The following is a 19,994-nucleotide window of genomic DNA, read 5'->3' on the forward strand; positions in this document are numbered from 1 at the left end:
TATAGGTCCTTAATCTCTTCTGGCTTATAGGGTTTCTGCTGACAGGTCTGCTGTTGTCCTTATGGGGTTCCCTTTGTAGGTGACCTGGCCCTTCTCTCTAGCTGGCTTTAACATTTTTTACCTTTCATTTCAACCTTGGAGAATCTAATGACTATATGTCTTGGGGATGGTCATCTTGTATAGTATCTTGCAGGGGTTTTCTGTATTTCCTGAATTTGAATGCTGGCCTCTCTAGCGCAGTTGGGGAAATTTTCATGGACAATATGAAATATGTGTTCCAAGTTGCTTGCTCACTCTCCCTCTCATTCAGAGATACCAAGAAGTCATAAACTTGGTCTCTTTACAGAATCCCATATTTCTTGGAGGTTTTGTTCATTCTTTTTTCTTCATTTTTGTCTGGCTGACTTAATTTGGAGAATGTGTCTTTGAGTTCCGAGATTCTTTTCTCAGCTTGGTCTATTCTGCTGTTAATACTTGAAATTGTATTATCAAATTATTGTAGTCAGTTTTTCAGCTCTATTAGGCCAGTTTGTTTTTTCTTAAAATGGCCACTTTGTCTTTCAGCTCCTGTATCATTTTTATTATATTCCTTAGATTCCTTGGATTGGGTTTCGACTTTCTCCTGAATGTCAGTGATCTTCATTCCTCTCCATATTCTGAATTCCATGTCTGTTATTTCAGCCATTTCAGCCTGGTTAAGAACCATTGCTGGCTGGGCATGGTGGCTCATGCCTGTAATCCCAGCACTTTTGGAGGCTGAGGGAGGCAGATTGCTTGAGCTCAGGGGTTCAAGACCAGCCTGGGCAACATGGTATAATCCTGTCTCTACGAAAAGTACAAAAAACATTTAGCCAGGCATGGTGGTGCATGCCTGTGTTCCCAGCTACTTGGAAGGCTGAGGCGGGAGGATCATTTGGGCCTGGGAGGTCGAGGCTGCAGTGAGCCATGATCGCAACACTGTGCTCCATACTAAGTGACAAAGTGAGACTCTGTCTCAAATTAAAAAAAAAAAAAAAAAGGCCGGGCGCTGTGGCTCATGCCTCTAATCCCAGCACTTTGGGAGGCTAAGACGGGCGGATCACGAGGAGATCGAGACCATCCTGGCTAACGCGGTGAAACCCTGTCTCTACTAAAAATACAAAAAAAAAAATTAGCTGGGCGTGGTGGCGGGCGCCTGCAGTCCCAGCTACTCGGGAGGCTGAGGCAGGAGAATGGCGTGAACCCGGGAGGCAGAGCTTGCAGTGAGCCGAGACCGTGCCACTGCACTCCAGGCTGGGCGACAGAGTAAGACTCCGTCTCAAAAAAAAAAAAAAAAAAAAAAAAAGAATCATTGCTGGGAAACTAGTGTGATCTTTTGGAAGTAAAAGGGCACTCTGGCTTTGTGAGTTGGCAGAGTTCGTGCACTGGTTCTTTTTCATCTGTGTGGGCTGACACTCCTTTAGTCTTCGAAGTTGCTGTTCATTGGATGGGTTTTGTTGTTGTTGTTGTTGTTGTTTTGCTTTATCTTCTTTGTTGCCCTTGGGGGTTTATTTGTGGCTTAAAGTGAGGTTAGTTGACTGACTTCATTTCTGGAAGATTGTAAGGGGGCTAAGGCTCAGCTCAGTACCCTGGGCTGCGTGCTCTAACTCTGGGGAGAAGCTAGTACCATTCTCCCAGCTTTGTTTGCTGGCCCCTCAATGATAGCAACCTTCTGTGCTAGAGGGACCAAGGCATTCCCAGACTGCTGGCCACAACACTCTGATAGCAGGTACTGGCCAAAGTGCTTTGTTGGGGCAGTGGCAGCAGGATCTGGGCTCGCTCTCACGTGCCAGCAGCTGCAGCAACTTTCACTCTCTTTTGCATAGCTCCTGGGAATAACCATCTCAGTGATCTCTAAAACGTCCGTAACTTTGGAGTCTTCCATCATTATCTGGTCTATCATATCAGTACTTTGTATATTTACGAATTTGACTAATTCCTCAATGTTTTCTTCCTTTCCAATCTCTAAACTCTGCTTTTCTTTCTCCCTCTCAGCTGGCTCTTTCCCACAAGACTGTAAGCATGCTGAAGTAGCTCTCTCATTAACTCCACCAACCAACCAATCAAATGTAGGTGTTCGCCTTGCACTGACCCAACACCCCTATCCAATTACTGTTGCATTTCTTCATTTCCATTCACACCGATATTTCTTGTCAAAAGAGTTGTCCTTTCTCTCTGTTGCAACTTTTTTGCCTTGAGTTCACTCTTCCTCCCACTCCAGCTCTGCTTCCAGCTTCACCACCGTTGAATCAAATTATCTGACTTCTCTATGCCTACATGCAAGCAGTTAAACATTGCTGCAGAAATCTAATGACCAGTTCTACTAAATTCAATTTGAATTTCTAATGACAAATTGTAAGAAAACACATGTTGAGGCAGCAATCCTACTATACTTCTCTTACTGATCTTTGTCCACTTTGTGGAACGACTGAATCGTACCATCGACTTCTCTTTCAAACTTCTAAGAAAATGGAAGCCATCAGAGAATTTACACACCATTCTAACACCAAATTTGTATTTCTCTCTGCATTTGCAGCCATGTTGTCTATATCTGCTGAGTCCAACTCCTTACCTTCTGCTTATATTTCCATATCCCCCAAATCTGCTTTTGATACTCAGCACCTACAATGAAACTGCTTTTGTTAAGATCACAGAGAATTCCCTATTGTAAAATCCAATTAATATTTTTTTTCTTAACTTGTTAGATCTATCAGAAGTATTTGAAACACTTGCCGACTCTCCCTCTCTTGAAACACATTCCTCTGACTTCTGGATGCCACATCCGTCTAATTTTCCTCCTTTCTCCCTGGTGGCTCCTAAACAGTCTCTTTTACTGGATCATCTTCCTCCCCTTCTTCTCAACCTGTAAATGCAGGAGTGTCATATGGCTTTAAATACCTTCACGTCACAACTTAAATGTCACTATCCAGAGACCTTTCCTGACTGCCAATTTGAAAGTAAGTTATCCTATTATTGTTTATTAAAGCACCATGTCGACTCACTTCATGGCATTAACCATATGCTGTATTTTTGTATGTGTTTAATTGTCACACTGTGATATGTGCTACAATAGACAACTGAGCTCAGTGTGACAAACAGTAGCAGCTTAAAATAACTTTTCTCAAATTTCAGTGATTCCATGCTGTTTAGTAAATGGTGAACAGACTATAAGAGTCAGCATTAAAAAAAAAATAAGCATCCTGGTGATACTGATGCAGGTGTTTCACAAATTGCCCTTTGAGAAACTCAGGCAAAGGGGACTGAATTTTAAAAATTGAATACTTTTATAGTCATTCAAAATTTATTGTGGTTCTACAATATGCCAACCACTATGCTAGGTATAAGCCAAAGAATCATTTGACAAGTCCTCATAAAAATTGAAAAAGGAAAGAAAACTCACTGATACAACAGGAAGGAAATATCCTAAATCTCACAAAGCACATAAGACAAAGGGATGAAGTAAACAATCTAGAAAGACAAAGAAATTGTTTCTAAGACTTTGGTTTTACTGGTAACATAACGCCTAGACAAAAAGAAAGAAGCTTCCATATTTATATTTTTTAACAGGTTTCATGGACTTTCCTTAGTAACAATTATGCTTTGGAAGGCTTTATTTGGACACTGGGCAATTATAATGGCATGTGTACTTCAAAACAAATGCTTTTAAGGATACAGAAAAATCATGTTAGTAATAAGCAGCTGGCAAAATATCCTGCTTCAGTGGGCAATATTTTAATGTCTCAACCTCCAGCAGCCCCCTCTTTCCTCACACATTTCACAGTACAGTTTTCACGCATACAATATTCAGTATCCTTTTTAGCTGTAAAAAACTCAAGAAACTCCAAAATTTTCACCAAAGTGGAAACTATTCAAACCAGTGTGCTTTTAATATAAAAACTAAGACACATTCAGAAATATGATCACAGTCAGAAATAAGCAATCATAGGACTTGACTTCTATCTATGGTTTCCAGCATCCTCTTCCCTTGAATCCCAAATGTTTTTGAAAGTTTTTTTTTAATTTCTCAATAACTTACTCTTTCATCAAGTGCTATTGAAAGAAAAACCATGAAATTTTGAGCTCATACTATAATTTGGTGATTCATTCAACAAATACTATCATTAGCCCCAAATTTCTGTCAGGCCCTGTCTTAGGAGCTAGGCACACAATAGTGAACAAAACAGACAAAAATTCATGTCTTCATGAAGCTTCTATTCAGTGTGTGTGGTAAGTAGGTACAGTAAGTAAAGCACGATTTATGCTAGATGATGTTAAGTGCTATAGGGGAAAGCAGGGAACTAGAGTCATGAGTGCTGCTAGGGGCATTCAGATTTTAAACAGGATAGCCAGGGAAGACCTAACTGTGCAGGTGACATTTGAGCACGATCCTGAAACAGGTTAGGGAGAGAGACATGCAAATGTCTGGGCAAAGTTTATTCCAGGCAAAATGAAGCAAACGTAAGTATCTTCTGTTGGAAGCATGTGTGGTATGGTCAAGGAAAAGCAAAGAGGCCAATGGAGCTGAGTAGAATGAAGGGAAAGGAGAGTTGTGGCATAAGTTAAAGAGGTAGGTAGGAGCAAGATCACAAGGACCTTGTGAGAAAGCTTTTATCCTGATAGAGAGAGGAATCACTGGAGAGCTTTGAGTAGAAACTTAACACAATCCTTTAAAAAGATTACTGTGGCTGCTATGTGGCTAATAGAGTGTAAACAGGCAAGTGTGGAGGCAGGGAATCAATTTAGGAAAATATTGCTATTATCCAGGCAAAGAATGGTGTCTCAGAGCAGAGTGGCATTAATGGGAATGATGAATAATGTATTGAAGGTCCAAAGGCTGATCCCTGGAGTAGTCCAAAGTTTAGAATTGGGGAAGTGAAGGAGGAAGTCATCAAAGGACGCTGAGGAGGAAAAACCAGTGAGGTATGAAGAAAACGAAGAAATTATAGTGCCCTTAAAGCAAAATGAAGATATTATATGAAGGGAGAGGAAATAATTAACTATATTAAATACTGCTGATACGTCAAGTTACATGAAGACTGAGAATGGGCCTTAGGGTTAGCAACATGGAGGTCACCGGTAAGTATATTAGTTTTCTAGGGCTGCCATAACACTATACCACAGACTGGGTGGCTTAAACAAAATAAATTTATTTGCTCACACTTCTGGATGCTGAAAGTGTGAGGTCAAGATGTTGATAGGTTTGGGTCCTTCTGGGGCCTCTCTCCTTGGCTGGCAGACAAGCTGTTTTCTTACTGAGTCCACACATGTCCTTTCCCCTGTGACTCTGCACCCTTGTGTCTCTGTGTGCCCAACTTCTTACCTTGTAAGGACACCAATCATATTGGATTAGAGCCCACCTTAATAGCCTCATTTTAACCTAACACTCCTTTAAAAAGCCTATCTCCAAATACAGTCACATTCTGAGGTACAAGGGATTAGGACTTCAACATAGGAAATTGGGGGGACACAATTCAGCCCATAACAGTAACCTTTATAAAAGGTGGTGGGAAAAGTGGTAAGATTTAAAGCCTTTAACAAAAAAGTTGGAGGAGAAAACTCAAAATCAACAAATGTAGACTATATTTTCGAGGACTTTTGCTGTAAAGAGGAGAGAGAAATGGGACAGCAGCCAGAGAAGAAAGTGAAATCAAGAGAGCTATTTGATTTGGTTCGTTTTTTTTTTTTTTTTTTTTTTTAAGATGGGAGAAATATCAGCAGGTTATGTTTATGAGAAAGACCCACTAGAAAGGGAAAATTTAATAATATGGGATAGGAAGAAGAAAATTATAGGAGGGTTATCTTGGTGCTGGTGAGTAGGGATGAGGTTAAGTTCAACTGCTTTAGCTAGAAGTATGTGTAGTTCACCGTTATTAACAGGAAAAATGCTGAATATATGGGCATAGAAACTGGTTGGTGAAAAGATATGGGGAGAGTGGATGGAGGAAAATCTCTTTTGATTGTTTTTATTTTCTCATGTAAACAGGAAGCAAGTTGGAGTTAGTGGATATTTGAATTTTGAAAAGGGAGAAGGCATGGAATAGTTACTGAGAATGTTAATGGAATTGGCAAATATAGCACAATTGACAGGCAGCATTAAGGACTCACTTGGGGCTAGCGATATTGAGTTTAAAGTGAGACCAGTTAGAAGGACTGTATGATTTTCTTTGATCATGTTCAACTTAATTAGACTTAGGATTTTGTCAAATGGGTATAATTACCAAGAGAGAGAGCCAAGGGAGTTGAAGATAATATGAGAGAGTAATTTTAATGGTGGACCATGGACTCTAAGCCCAGTGTGGAGGAAAGTGAGGATATATTTGGGTTGTGAAGGGGAAGAGACGTGAAAGAGAAAAGTTAGAAGAGTTATGAGATTGGAGGTCTCCATTGGGTAAAATAATTATCAGAGTACCAAAGGGAGTGAGTTAGTGGTCAAGTGGGATGTTTGAAATTGACGTTATGGAGGGATTGCAGTTATTGATAATGACAAGATAAGTTATGGCCATAGGAACAAGTGGTAAAGTTGATGAGGAAAATAACACTGAAGATGGGGTAAAGGAAATGAGAGGCCAGGGTGTTGAAAGGATCATCATACACCTGGATATTGACATCAACAAGAATTGAAACATAAATGATATTGGTAAGAGCAATATTATGCCACAAAGTAAAACATCCTCAATAATTGAGAGGGAATAAACTGAAAGTCAGTAGATTACTGTAACAAGGAGGTTTATTAGTCAGGGTTCTCTGGAGAAACAGAGCAAATAGGGTGTGTGTGTGTGTATGTATAGAGAGAGAGCAATATACATAGAGAAAGAGATTATACAAAATTGACTCAAATGATTCTGGAAGCTAACAGGATCCAAAATCTGTAGGCAGCAAGCTGAAGACCCAGGAGAGTTGATGGTGTAGTTCCAGTTTGAGTCTGAAGGCCTGAGAACCACTTAGAGCCAATGGTGTAGTTCCCATCCAAAGGCCAGCACGCTTGAGATCCAGGAAGAGCTGATGTCTCAGTAGAAGTTCGAAGGCAGGAAAAAGCCAATGTCCCAGTTTGAAGGCAGTCAGGCAGGAGGAATTCCCTCTTATTCAGGAGAAGATCAGCCTTTTTCTTCTAGTCAGGTCTTCAGATGATTGGATGAAGTTCACACACATTAGAGAAGACAATCTGCTTTACTCAATCTACTGATTCAACTGTTAGTCTCATACAAAAACACCCTCACAGAAACACACAGATTAGTGTTTGATCAATTATATGGGCAACCCTTGGCCCAGTCAAGGTTACATGTAAATTTTACCATCACAAGGGGTAACGGGAAGTATAATCTAAGGACATAAGTTTCCAAGCTGGAAGGAGGAGGATAGGAGAATAGTCCTCCACTAGCAAGGAGGAGCAAGGAGAACACTATGTTAACTCCAGGATCAATAGTAATTGCATTGTGTCAGAGAAAGAAAAATCACCATTTAAAAAGCCTTTAGGCCAGGTGCGGTGGCTCACGCCTGTAATCCCAGCACTTTGGGATGCCAAGGCGGGTGGATCACCCGAGGTCAGGAGTTCGAGGTCAGCCTGGCCAACATGGTGAAACTCTGTCTCTACTAAAAATACAAAAAAAATTGCCAGGCATGGTGGCATGTGCCTGTAATCCCAGCTGCTCGGGAAGCTGAGGCAGGAGAATCGCTTGAACCTGGAAGGCAGAGGTTACAGTGATCCAAAATTGTGCCATTGCACTCCAGCCTGGGCAACAAGAGCAAAACTCCATCTAAAAAAAAAAAAACAACTTTAGTGGGAGCCACAGATTAGGGTAGAACCAGATTTAAGTTAAAATAAGTAGACGAAGGAAACATTAAGACAAGTTGTTGAAGGTAAGTGGGATTTTCTCGAATACCAACTCTGATTTCCAGAGGACAAAGTATAAGGTTTACAAGAGTTGAGAGACAGGATTAAAACAAAGATATACAAGGAAAATATAAAGATGAGGAGACCTGGGATATTTGAGGATTAATCCTAATGGCCCTAAGTCAAAATAGTGATGGTATGACTCTAATCATCATTGTTCAGAAAGGAAGGGTAGTAGTTTTGTCTGAGAGCAGGTTTGTTTGGGTGTTATTCTGCTCTGCAAACTTTGTGTTTTCCCCTTAATATGGGGGTTTCTTCTCTTAACATTTATTTTTTGCTATAGACTTTTTTTTTTACAATGAGATAAGAAAAACAGGCTCTGATTGACTGTTTAGGATACACTCATGTTTTATTCAATTAACTGTCATGCCACTGTTAGATATGAGTTCTAAATTTCTCTTCAAAGAATCAATGTCAGTGTGTTCAATTCTTTGCCTTCTACTTTTAAACTTAACTTCCTCATAAAGCAACCTTTTTCGATTACCTGCTCCACCCTGACTCATTCTGATCACCTGCTCCACCCTGACTCATTCTGATTTCCTGCTCCACCCTGACTCATTCTGATTTCCTGCTCTGTCATAACCATTTTTCTGGCCAAACCACTCACCCATCCTATCACTCTCTTTAAATTAGCCAATTGGAATTAGTTTAGCCTGTGCAGTCTAACCTTAACCAATAGGGGAATGACATGGCAGCAGGGGCCACGTGCATCAGGAATAAGAACCCCTTCCCATCCCTTGTCCAGGTGTGCGCTCACCATTGCTCCATCTGTGAGGGTGCACCCTTCTTTTTTTTTTTTTTTTTTTTTGAGATGGAGTGTCATTCTGTCACCCAGGCTGGAGTGCAGTGGCATGATCTCGGCTCACTGCAAGCTCCACCTACCGGGTTCACACCATTCTCCTGCCTCAGCCTCCCAAGTAACTGGGACTACAGGTGCCTGCCACCATGCTTGGCTAATTTTTTGTATTTTTAGTAGACAGGGTTTCACCATGTTAGCCAGGATGGTCTTGATCTCCTGACCTCGTGATCTGCCTGCCTTGGACTCCAAAAGTGCTGGGATTACAGGTGTGAGCCACCACGCCCAGCTGAGGGCACACCCTTCTATAGAAGTAAATCGCCTTGCTGAGAAGAAAAAAAGAAAATTTTATATTCGAGTGCTATTTCTTTTGCAGCACCGAAACTTTATTTATAACACCACTTAGAATGCAAGTTCCTTGAAGACAGAGTCTACACTGTGAATATTCACTCTAAAAATAATTTATCCCATAGAATATTTAAACTTTCTATTAAGGATTTCATGTTGGCTGGTTTGAGCCCACAGGAATAAGCCTGCTACGTGCTCTGTGTACCCTTTGTCTGTTCAACTTTTCATCAGACCTAACCATCTCCTCAGGCCTTTTGGAGAACCCCAACACTTCCATCTCCTCCAGGAAGCCATAATTGGGAGAAGGGGTCAAAGACCCTAGTCCAACTCAGTCTGACCATAGAGATGTGATGGTTAATATTAAGTGTCGACTGGATTGAAGGATGCAAAGTATTGTTCCTAGGTATGTCTGTGAAGGTGTTACCAGAGGACATTAACATTTGAGTCAGTGAACTGGGAGAGGCAGACCCACCCTCAATCTGGGTAGGCCCATCTATCAGTTGCCAGCACGGATAGGAAAAGAAGCAGGCAGAGGAACGTGGAAAGACTAGGCTGGCTAAGTCTTCCAGCCTCCATCTTTCTCCCGTGCTGGAAGCTTCCTGTCCTCGAACACTGGACTCCAAGTTCTTCAGCTTTTTGACTCTTGGACCTACACCAGTGGTTTGCCAGGGGCTCTCAGGCCTTTGACCACGACTGAAGGCTGCACTGTTGGCTTCCCTACTTTTGAGATTTTGGGACTCGGACTGGCTTCCTTGATCCTCAGCTTGCAGACAACCTATTGTGGGACTTCACCTTATGATCATGTGCATCGATACTCCTTAATATACTCCCTGTCATATATACATCTATACTATTAGTCCTGTCCCTCTAGAGAACCCTGACTAATACAAATTCATTATGTACTGTAGTGGGCTGAATGGTAGCGATGCCAAAATGCATGTCTACATCATAATCTCCAGAACCTATGAATGTTGCTTTATTTGGAAAATGGGTATCTGCAGATATAATTAAGTTAAGGATGTTGAGATGGGGAGATCATCTTGGATTATCCAGATGAACCCTAAATCCTATGACAAGTGTCCTTTATAGGAGCGAGACTGACATAAAAAAAGATGAGTTCATGTCCTTCGCAGGGACATGGACGAAGCTGGAAACCATCATTCTCAGCAAACTAACACAGGAACAGAAAACCAAACACCGCATGTTCTCACACATAAGTGGGAACACAATGAGAACACATGGACACGGGGAGGGTAACATCACACACCGGGGCCTGTCAGGGGGTGGAGGGTTAGGGGAGGGATAGCATTAGGAGAAATACCTAATGTAGACGATGGATCGATGGGTGCAGCAAACCACCATGGCATGTGTATACCTATGTAACAAACCTGCATGTTCTGCACATGTATCCCAGAACTTAAAGTATAATTTAAAAAAAAAAGTAGGAGTTATCTCCTTTCGTTTTTCAGAGCATAAGCTCTCACAAGGAAAAAGATTATTAAATCATATTCCTCTATGGCAGAAAACCATAGAGAATTTGCCCTAAATAAATAATGTATGAGAATAAAAACCAGTTATTTTTATAGTAGCATAATTTTTAACAGTGAAAAACTGGAAGCAATGTAAAACACTGACAGAGTGTGGTGGCTCACGCCTGTATTCCCAGCACTTTGGAAGGCTGAGGTGGGAGGATAGCTTGAATCCAGGAGTTCAAGACCAGCCTGGGCAACATAGCAAGACCCCACTGTACAACACAAAATTTAAAAATTAGCTGGACCTGGTGATACACACCTGTAGTCCCAGCTACTCAGGAGGCTGAGGTGGGAGGATTGCTTGAGCCCGGGAGTTTGAGGCTACAGTGAGCTATGATCACACCACTGCACTCCAGCCTGGGTGGCAGAGTAAGACCCTGCCTGTAAATAAATAAACAGAAGGAAATCAAACATAAGCAGTTAGAGATTGACTATTCAAATTAAGACATGAATTTGAGAAAATCATGTAGTTCTATTAAAACCACAAATAAAAAAAAAGAGTGCGGCTGAGAGAGATTTGACAGGCAGAAGAGGAGGAGGCAACGTGACCAGTGAGGTAGAAATTGTAGTGATGCCGCCACAAGCCACTGGAATCTGGAAAAGGAAAAGAACAGACTCTCCTAGAACCTCCAGAGGAGGGCAACTCTGCAGACTCAATTTTGGATTTCTGGACTCTAAAACTGTGAGAGAAAAAAATTTCTGCTGGTTAGATTCACGCGGTTTGTGGTAATGTGTTACAGTAGCCACAGGAAACTAGTAACATCCTTCAAATGTCACTTCTGTCTCATATATGCTCACTCCTCTATTATATGATATAGTTATTTGATGTATATGATTATTCACATGAAAACATTTTGTTGGTGTCTTTGGAATCACATAGACTTGGGTTTGAATCCTGGCTTAGGCACTCATTAGTCATAAAATTTGGGCAGGTATTTATATCTCACTGAGCCTCAGTTTCCTGTTGAATAAGGATAGTAATATTTTGAAAGGTTGTGATAAGGTTAGAGATAATGTGTATGGTGTACATAGCACAGAGCTTGGCATAAATGGGCATTCAGAAATGTTATTATGCTCTCCATGGAGAATATGCTATCATGTGCTCCATGGGACCACATTCGTGACAGCTAACATTAAAATGTCCAAATATTTAATTGATCACCATACCTCCTTAAATAAGTCCACCCCAGTTCTAGCACACAACTGTCCTTCCTGAAAACTGCTTTCATCTACACTTCCCTTTAGCAATATTTCTTAACAAAAGCAAGAACCAAGGGGTTCTAAATTCTAATCCTAACACTTAACACTAAGGGTGATCCTTGGGAGGGTGATCCTGCGTACTTCCAACAGTCTTTATCTACCTAAATTTCAGCCTCTACCTAAATTTCAGCCTCTACCAAAAGGCTTAATATGCCTCCTGAGATACGCAAAGATCTATAAACAAATAGGAAAGCACAAATATTTCCATCCCTGATGTGAACCGTGTCATCATTGAGCCATCAAAGCAGTGGCACTAGACCTCTATTCAAATAATTACTTTTTGCAAAACTGAATAATTTACCCCAGGGATTTAAAATCTACTTCCGCATCGGCCAAACATTGTGCCAGCAAATCCAAAGCCAGATATTGTATATCTGCTTTCCAGAGACATCTCTACAAGAGAATCTCTCCTGTAGTGTATAGCCAGAGGTTCTTAGTGTCCCAAGAGATTGTACCAAAATGGATTTTGGAATATCGTTGGCCTCTTCAAGTGCCTCTGTAGGTATTTTTAAAGTATTGAATATAAATTATAATTAATAATGGCCTATCATTCAACAATTTTGAGGAGTTTATTTACATTCTATAGGCATTTTTCTTTTTTTTTTCTTTTGAGATGTAGTCTCACTCTGTCACCCAGGCTGGAGTGCAGTGGCGCTATCTTGGCTCTCTGCAACCTCCACCTCCAGGGTTCAAGCGATTCTCCTGCCTCAGCCCCCCGAGTAGTTGGGATTACAGGTGCCCACCACCACGCCCGGCTAATTTTTGTATTTTTAGTAGCGATGGGGTTTCACCATGTTTGCCAGGCTGGTCTCGAACTCCTGACCTCAAGTGATCTGCCCGCCTTGGCCTCCCAAAGTGCTGGGATTACAGGTATGAGCCACTGCACCTGGCCTCTATAGGCATTTTTCAAGTTTCACTCAGTAATATCTCTACATAAGAGGACGTTGAGATATTATTTACTGAGATAACTACCATGAAGGGCAGGAGATTGTTCAGCATTATGTTAGCTTCAGGAACACATGTCCATGAAACTGTATCTCTCAGGGACAGGGCTCTGCTATTGATGTTATTAGAGAAAGGGCAAAGCAAGGCTCATAAAATATACACTCTCTTTCCTCATCTCTCTAACTCCTAAAAGTATGTCCGCTGCCGTGCAAGTGATCAAAACATTTCCCTCAAGTCTTCTGAAATAATCCAATTTAAATGCTAAAATAATATAAGGAAAGGGAAAGATAGAGTCTCATGTATGTACATGTGTCTTCAGGGCAAGGAGGCTGAGACATGGGAAGGCTTCACTGAGAAAGTAAACATTTGAACAAGACCAGCAGCATGCATAGAGTAGAATGTCATGCAAATGCTAGATTTCAATTTTCAATTGAAAATTTAGAAATTACCATCAACTATGTTTATATTTGCCATGTGCAGTTCTGAGAGCAGGAGTTTTGGAAATAACCAAAAAGTATTGAATATGAAATGCTTAAAAGACAAAAACACTCAAAATGTTCTCTCAAGTTCCTTTGTTTCATTCATATGTATGACGGTAGCCACCATCTCAGAGGCAGTTACGACAAGCTCGCCACAGAGTGGAATGTTGCATTCGGAACTCTTTTTATTGCACCTTTAGAAATTTTAGACCTGAAAATATAGTCTGAGTGAATTTACAGGAACTACTTTAATTGTTCCATTGTTGGCTGATCAGTCAAGGGAAGGGTGAAATGCAGACAAAAAAGAAAAGGGTATGGAAATAAAAAGGTACAAAAGAAGAAAAATAACTTCAAAATAGTCAAACTACTGTGCTCATATAGACATGTCCTTGTGTTGACATTTTTTTTAAAACCCATTATCTTTCTCCAAAAGTACCTTTTAACCTCAAACTGAAATCAGTGATATTTCCTAATTTCCTTGGGGAGGAAGCACGGGTCCACTGTTTTCAATGATAATGATTTTTTTTTTTCAAACATACTAAAATCTCCAGCGCAGCCTAAGAATTTAATGTTATCATTGACAATAAAGTGATACGGAGAGCAGAAGCTGTGTACATTATTTAGTAAACTTAAGAAAAATTTCCATTCCCAGCTGTCCTTATTCACTACTTTTCTTTGATAAATTAAGAAAGGAAAAGATAGGGCTGGGAGCAGTGGCTCATGCCTGTAATCTCAGCACTTTGGGAGGCTGAGGCGGGCGGATCACGAGGTCAGGAGTTTGAGACCAGCCTGGCCAACATAGTGAAACCCTGTCTCTACTAAAAATACAAAAATTAGCCAGGTGTGGTGGCGGGTGCCTATAATCCCAGCTACTTGAGAGGCTGAGGCAGAACTGCTTGAACCCGGGAGGCAGAGGTTGCAGTGAGCTGAGATTGCGCCACTGCACTCCATCCTGGGTAACAGGGCAAGACTCTGTCTGGGGGCGGGGGTGGGAAGGAAATGACAATACCTCATAAAGTACTTGAAACCCTACAAAAAGAGCTCTGCATTGTCTTTCTTTCACAGAAATGCCTACTTTCCTTCTTAGGGCATGTTTATGCCAGTCTCCTTCCTATCCATTAAGGTAATGATGCCTGAATTTTCTGATATCCTTCAGACTCTGAGTATCTCATGCAGCAACCTCTTCCACAATGTTTGTTTAAAATCATTCATTTATTCATCTATACAACAGATATTTACTAGTGCCTACTAGGTGCTCAGCATTATTCTAGGTATTAGGCATATAATGGAGAATGAGGAAAGCAAGGACTCTGACCTTACGGAGCTTGAATTCTAATAGGACATCCCCCCCACCAAAAAAAAAAGCTAATTAAATAAATGATTACTTAATACAAGCTCCAACGAATAAGTATAGCCTGTTGAGAGTTTATAACAGGAATCCTTTGGGAGCAGAGGTAGGGGGTGAGGGGTGGGGCATTGGCTAGATAAGGCCACCATGGGAAAATTATATTTAAGGTAACATTAGAAGAGAATGTTGGAGTTAGCTAGGTAAAAAGAGGTGGGGAAAATCTTCCCAGGCAGAGAAAGAGAATGTGGAAGTCCTTATGGAAGGAAAAATTCTGGCAGTTCTGAAATTAATGAAAGCCGGTTAAATTACTATATTGCTGCTCATTAAGTGTGTGGCTTGGGAAGCCACTTTACTCTTCTGACCTCTGGTTTTCTTGTCCATAAAATGGGCATAATAATAGGTTTATGAGATTGAAGAGAAGGTCAAATTATATAATATCAAATTATTTATTGAATATTTTTGTTAACTTATTAACTATTATCAAATATTAAGCAAGGTTAACTATTACTAAACTTTTAGTAAAACATTTATAAACTATTTATTAGTCTGAAATAGCACATATTATTTTTCACTAGAGAATTCTGACGTACTAATTTTGTAAAGACTATTTATTTCATAGGTTTTTTTTTTTTTTTTTTTTTTTTTTTTTTTTTTTTGTCGCTGCATTGCCCAGGCTGGAGTGCAGTGGTGCAATCTCAGCTCACTGCAACCTCTGCCTCCCGGGTTCAAGCAATTCTCCTGTCTCAGCTTCCCGAGTAGCTAGGACTACAGGCGTCTGCCACCATGCCCGGCTAATTTTTGTATTTTTAGTACAGATGGGGTTTCACCTTGTTGGTCAGGCTGGTCTCGAACTCCTAACCTCAGGTGATCCACCTGCCTCGGCCTCCCAAAGTGCTGGGATTACAGGTGTGAGCCACTGCCCCTGGCCTTCATAGAGATTTTAAATTGAAACTGGATATGGCTTAATCTCACTGCCACTCAAATTGTTCCAGAGCCTAATAAAAGAAAAACTTTCATTCTGCTAATGAAGGAAGGATAATATTGATCACAAACCTAATAAAATTATACAAACAAAAAACTACAGACCAATCTCATAAATATCGAAGAAAATTTTCAAATCATAATACGAAGCAGACTCCAATTGAACATTAAAAGTAAAAAGAAAGAAAGCCATTATTGCAAAATGAGATTTATTCTGGAATTAGAGGGATGATATTATATTAGGAAATCTATTATTTGCCACTTAAATAAATCTAAAAAAAAATCATAAGCTTTTTTACACAGATGCTGAAAACAGGTTGTACAAAATTTAATGCCATAATGTAACATTATATATCACACACAAAATACACAAATATAAATGTATGTGTTTATAGATAAGTTGTTTGGGATTCTTTATGAACATTGTCAATAAGGAGACAAACAATGGAAATATTCCATCTATGTCCATTATAACTTCATAGTGAGAGAAAACAGTTGGAGGCATAAGAATTAGAAGTTTTTGCATATAATATATTTGGAAAACCAAAGACAACAAATATCAAAATTAAATTACATAACATTTAAAAATTAAGTTTTTTGGCATGATTTAAAATTTTCACACAAAAATAATATTATACAGACATATACACACACAGATAAATCGGTCAAAAGCTACTTAGGAATACAGTATCTAAAACCTATATAAGAAAACATTAAAACATTCCTGAGAGGCTCAAAAGTAAATTTGAACAATTAAAAGGGCATTTATTGTTCTTGGATAGCCTATGTTAACTTCATAATAATGTCAATACTCCCCAAATTAATATACAAATTTAGGGCTATTTCAACAAATATAAGTTATTTTTTCTAATGTTAAACATGTGAATTATAACATTCATATAGAAAACAAAACATGTAAGAACTCTGAGAAAGAATAACAATAAAAGGAAGACTAATGCTACCAGATATTAAAACATACTCTAAAGCTTCTATAGATTGTGAGGTCATGACATAAATAAGGTCTACAGAACATTTAACTGAATAGAAAGTACACAAATAAATACAAGGACTTATGGTAATTTAGTATATATGATAATCATATCACATGGAAGACGTGATGAGTGTTTAACAAATGGCTTGGGACACCTCAATAGCCCTTTGGAAAAAAATTAATTGAATACTTACTTCACACCATACCCCAGAATAAACTTCAAATAGAAGAGAGATATAAATGTTAAAAAACTGAGACCACAGAAGTACTGAAAGAAAACATTGGGGGCATTCCTTTATAACCTAGATGTGGAGAAAGTCTTCTAACTATAACTCAAAATCTAGAAGCAATAAAAGAGAGCACTGATAAATCTATCTGCATGAAAACAAAAAAAAACTTTTGCATTGCAAAATATACATGTCATAAAGAGGATGAAACACAAATGGCAAACTGGGAGAAAATCTATGTAAGTCGTATCATAGACAAAAGACTAATTTTCCTGGTAAACAAAAGCTTTTAAATAATAATAAAAAATACAAAAAACAAGATAAATGATCAAAAGACATTAACAGATAATTCATGGAAAAAGAAACACAAATGGCCCTGAACATATGAAAAATACTTCACTCATAATAAGAGAAATGCAAAGTAATATTACACTGAGATATTTCAAAAAATCTATCAGATATTCAGAAAATCAAAATAGCCCTTATCTTGGAAATTGCATAAGAAAACAGGCAGCCTTATGCATTTTTAGTGGATGTATAAAATGGTAAAACCACTATGGGAGGTATTTTAGCAATATCTGACAAATTACATATGTGTTTAGTCTTTGATCAAGGAAACATTCTTCTAAAAACTTATTGTAAATGTATACTTCCACAAATATAAAACAAAGTATGTCCAAATTTATTCATGGTGAAACTTATTCGTAATAACAAAATAATTTCCCATACATAGGAAAATTTTTAATAACTATGACAAATCCATGGAATTAACTATGCAGCTGCACAGAAATGTAGAAAACATCTATGAACTGACACAGTTACTTCTGAATTTACAGTTAAGTGACCAAAGCAGGTGCAAATTAATGTGTGTGGAAAAGTTCCCAACTCATTCTAGGAGGGCAGTATTGCCCTCATACCAAAACCAGACAAAGACATCATAAAAAATACATATAATTACTCCTTATGAATAGAGACAAAAATCCTCAACAAAATACTAGCAAAAGAAATTTAGCAACATATAAAATGTATTATACAACATGAACAAGCATGATTTATTCTAGGAAGTCAAGATTCATTCAACATTTGAAAACCAGTCAATGTAATAACCCCATTTTAGTAGAATATAAAACAGAAACCATATTATTATCTCGATAGACGCAGAAACAGCATTGGACAAAATCCAACAACCTTTCATGATAAAAAAAAATACCCCATAAACTAGGAGTAGAGGGAATTTCCTCAACCAATAAAGAGCATCTATGAAAACTGCACAGCTAACCTCATACTCCTCATACTCAATGATGGAAGGACTGAATCCTTTCCCTCTAAGATCATGAACAAGACTGCTCATGCCACTTCTATTCAACATTGGACTTAAAGGTATAGCTAGAAAAATTAGGTAAGAGAAAGAAATAAAAGTAGTTCAGATCGAAAAGGAAGAAGTAAAACTATCTCTACATGTATAGGACATAATCTTGTATATAGAAAATCCTAAGCAATCCACAAAACAAACTACTAGATCTAATAAGTTCAATAGGGCTGCAAGATTAAGATCAATAAACAAAAATCAATTGTATTTCTATGCACAAACAATGGATAATCTGAAGACAAAACTTTAAAAATTCCACTTAGAATAATATAAAAAGAATAAAATACTTAGAAAACATTTAGCAAAAATAAATGGAAAACATAATAAAATCAACAAAACACCAATGAAATGAATTATACAATACTTAAATTAAATGGAAAGACATCCATGTTCATCAACTATAAGATTTAATATTGTTAAGATTGCAACACTCCCCAAATTGATCTACAGGTTCTATGCAATCCCAATTAAATTCCAGATGTAGCTTTTGAAGAAACTGAGAATCTGATCATAAGACTCACATGAAAATGCAAGGGACCCCAAACAACCAAAACAATCTTGAAAAAAGAATAAAGTTGGAAGACTCACAATCCCCAATTTCAAAAGCTACTACAAAGCTACTATGAACAAGATAGTTTGATACTGTCATAAAGATAGACATATAGATTAAAAGAATAAAATTGAGATTCCAAAAATAAACCTATACATTTGTGAATTGCATTTCAATAAGGGCCCCAAGAGACTTTGAGGAGAAAATAATAGTCTTCTCAACAAATGGTGTCAGGACAACTAGATCTCCATATACAAAATAATGAAGTTGAACTACTACCTCATACTGTATATGAAAATTAGTTCAAAATGGACCAAAGACCTACATGTAAGAGCTAAAACTGTAAAACTCTATGAACCATGAAAACATAAATGTAAAACATGAAATCTGTGAAAACATAGGTGTTAATTGTTGTGACCCTGGATTAGGCAATGATTTCTTAAACATGACATGAAAAGCACAATCAATGAAAAAAACAGATAAATTGGACTACATCAAAATTAAACATTTTTGTGCATCAAAGGATACTATGAAGAATGTGTAAAGCCAATCGATTAATGGGAGAAAATATTTGTAAATCATGTATCTGATAATTGTCTAGTATCTAAAATATATAAGGAACTCCTATAACTCAACAATGAAAGGACAGTCCATTTTTTAAAAGTAGGTATTTCTCCAACAAAAGATATGCAAATGTCCCATAAGCACATGAAAAAATGCTCACCATCATTAAACATTAGTGAAATGTGGGTAAAAATCATGATATAACACTTTGCACCAACTAGGATGACTATAATAAAAAACAGACAATAAAAGGAGTTGCTGAGAAAGTGGAAACAGTGGAAAATCCATACACTACTGGTAAGAATGCAAATGGCACAGCTACTTTGGAAAACAATCTGGCAGTTCCTCAAAAAATTAAATAAAAAAATTACATATGACTGAGCAATTCCATTCCTATAGATATACCCACTATAATTGAAAACAGGTGTTGAGACAAAAATTTATACAAGGATTGTCATGGAAGCAGTATTCATAATAGCCAAAAATTGGAAACAAACCAAATGTCCATCAAATGATGAACAGGTAATGAAAAGTTTATCCATACAATGGAAAATAATTCAGCCATGAAAAGGATTGAAGTTCTGATATATGCTGCAACATCAGTGAAGCTTGAAAATATGCTAAGGTGAAAGAAGTAACAAAAGAGCATGTATTGTATGATTCTATTTGTATAAAATGTCCAGAATAGGCAAACC

This window comes from Homo sapiens, chromosome X, assembly GCF_000001405.40.
Source record: "Homo sapiens chromosome X, GRCh38.p14 Primary Assembly".
NCBI classification, from domain to species: domain Eukaryota; kingdom Metazoa; phylum Chordata; class Mammalia; order Primates; family Hominidae; genus Homo; species Homo sapiens.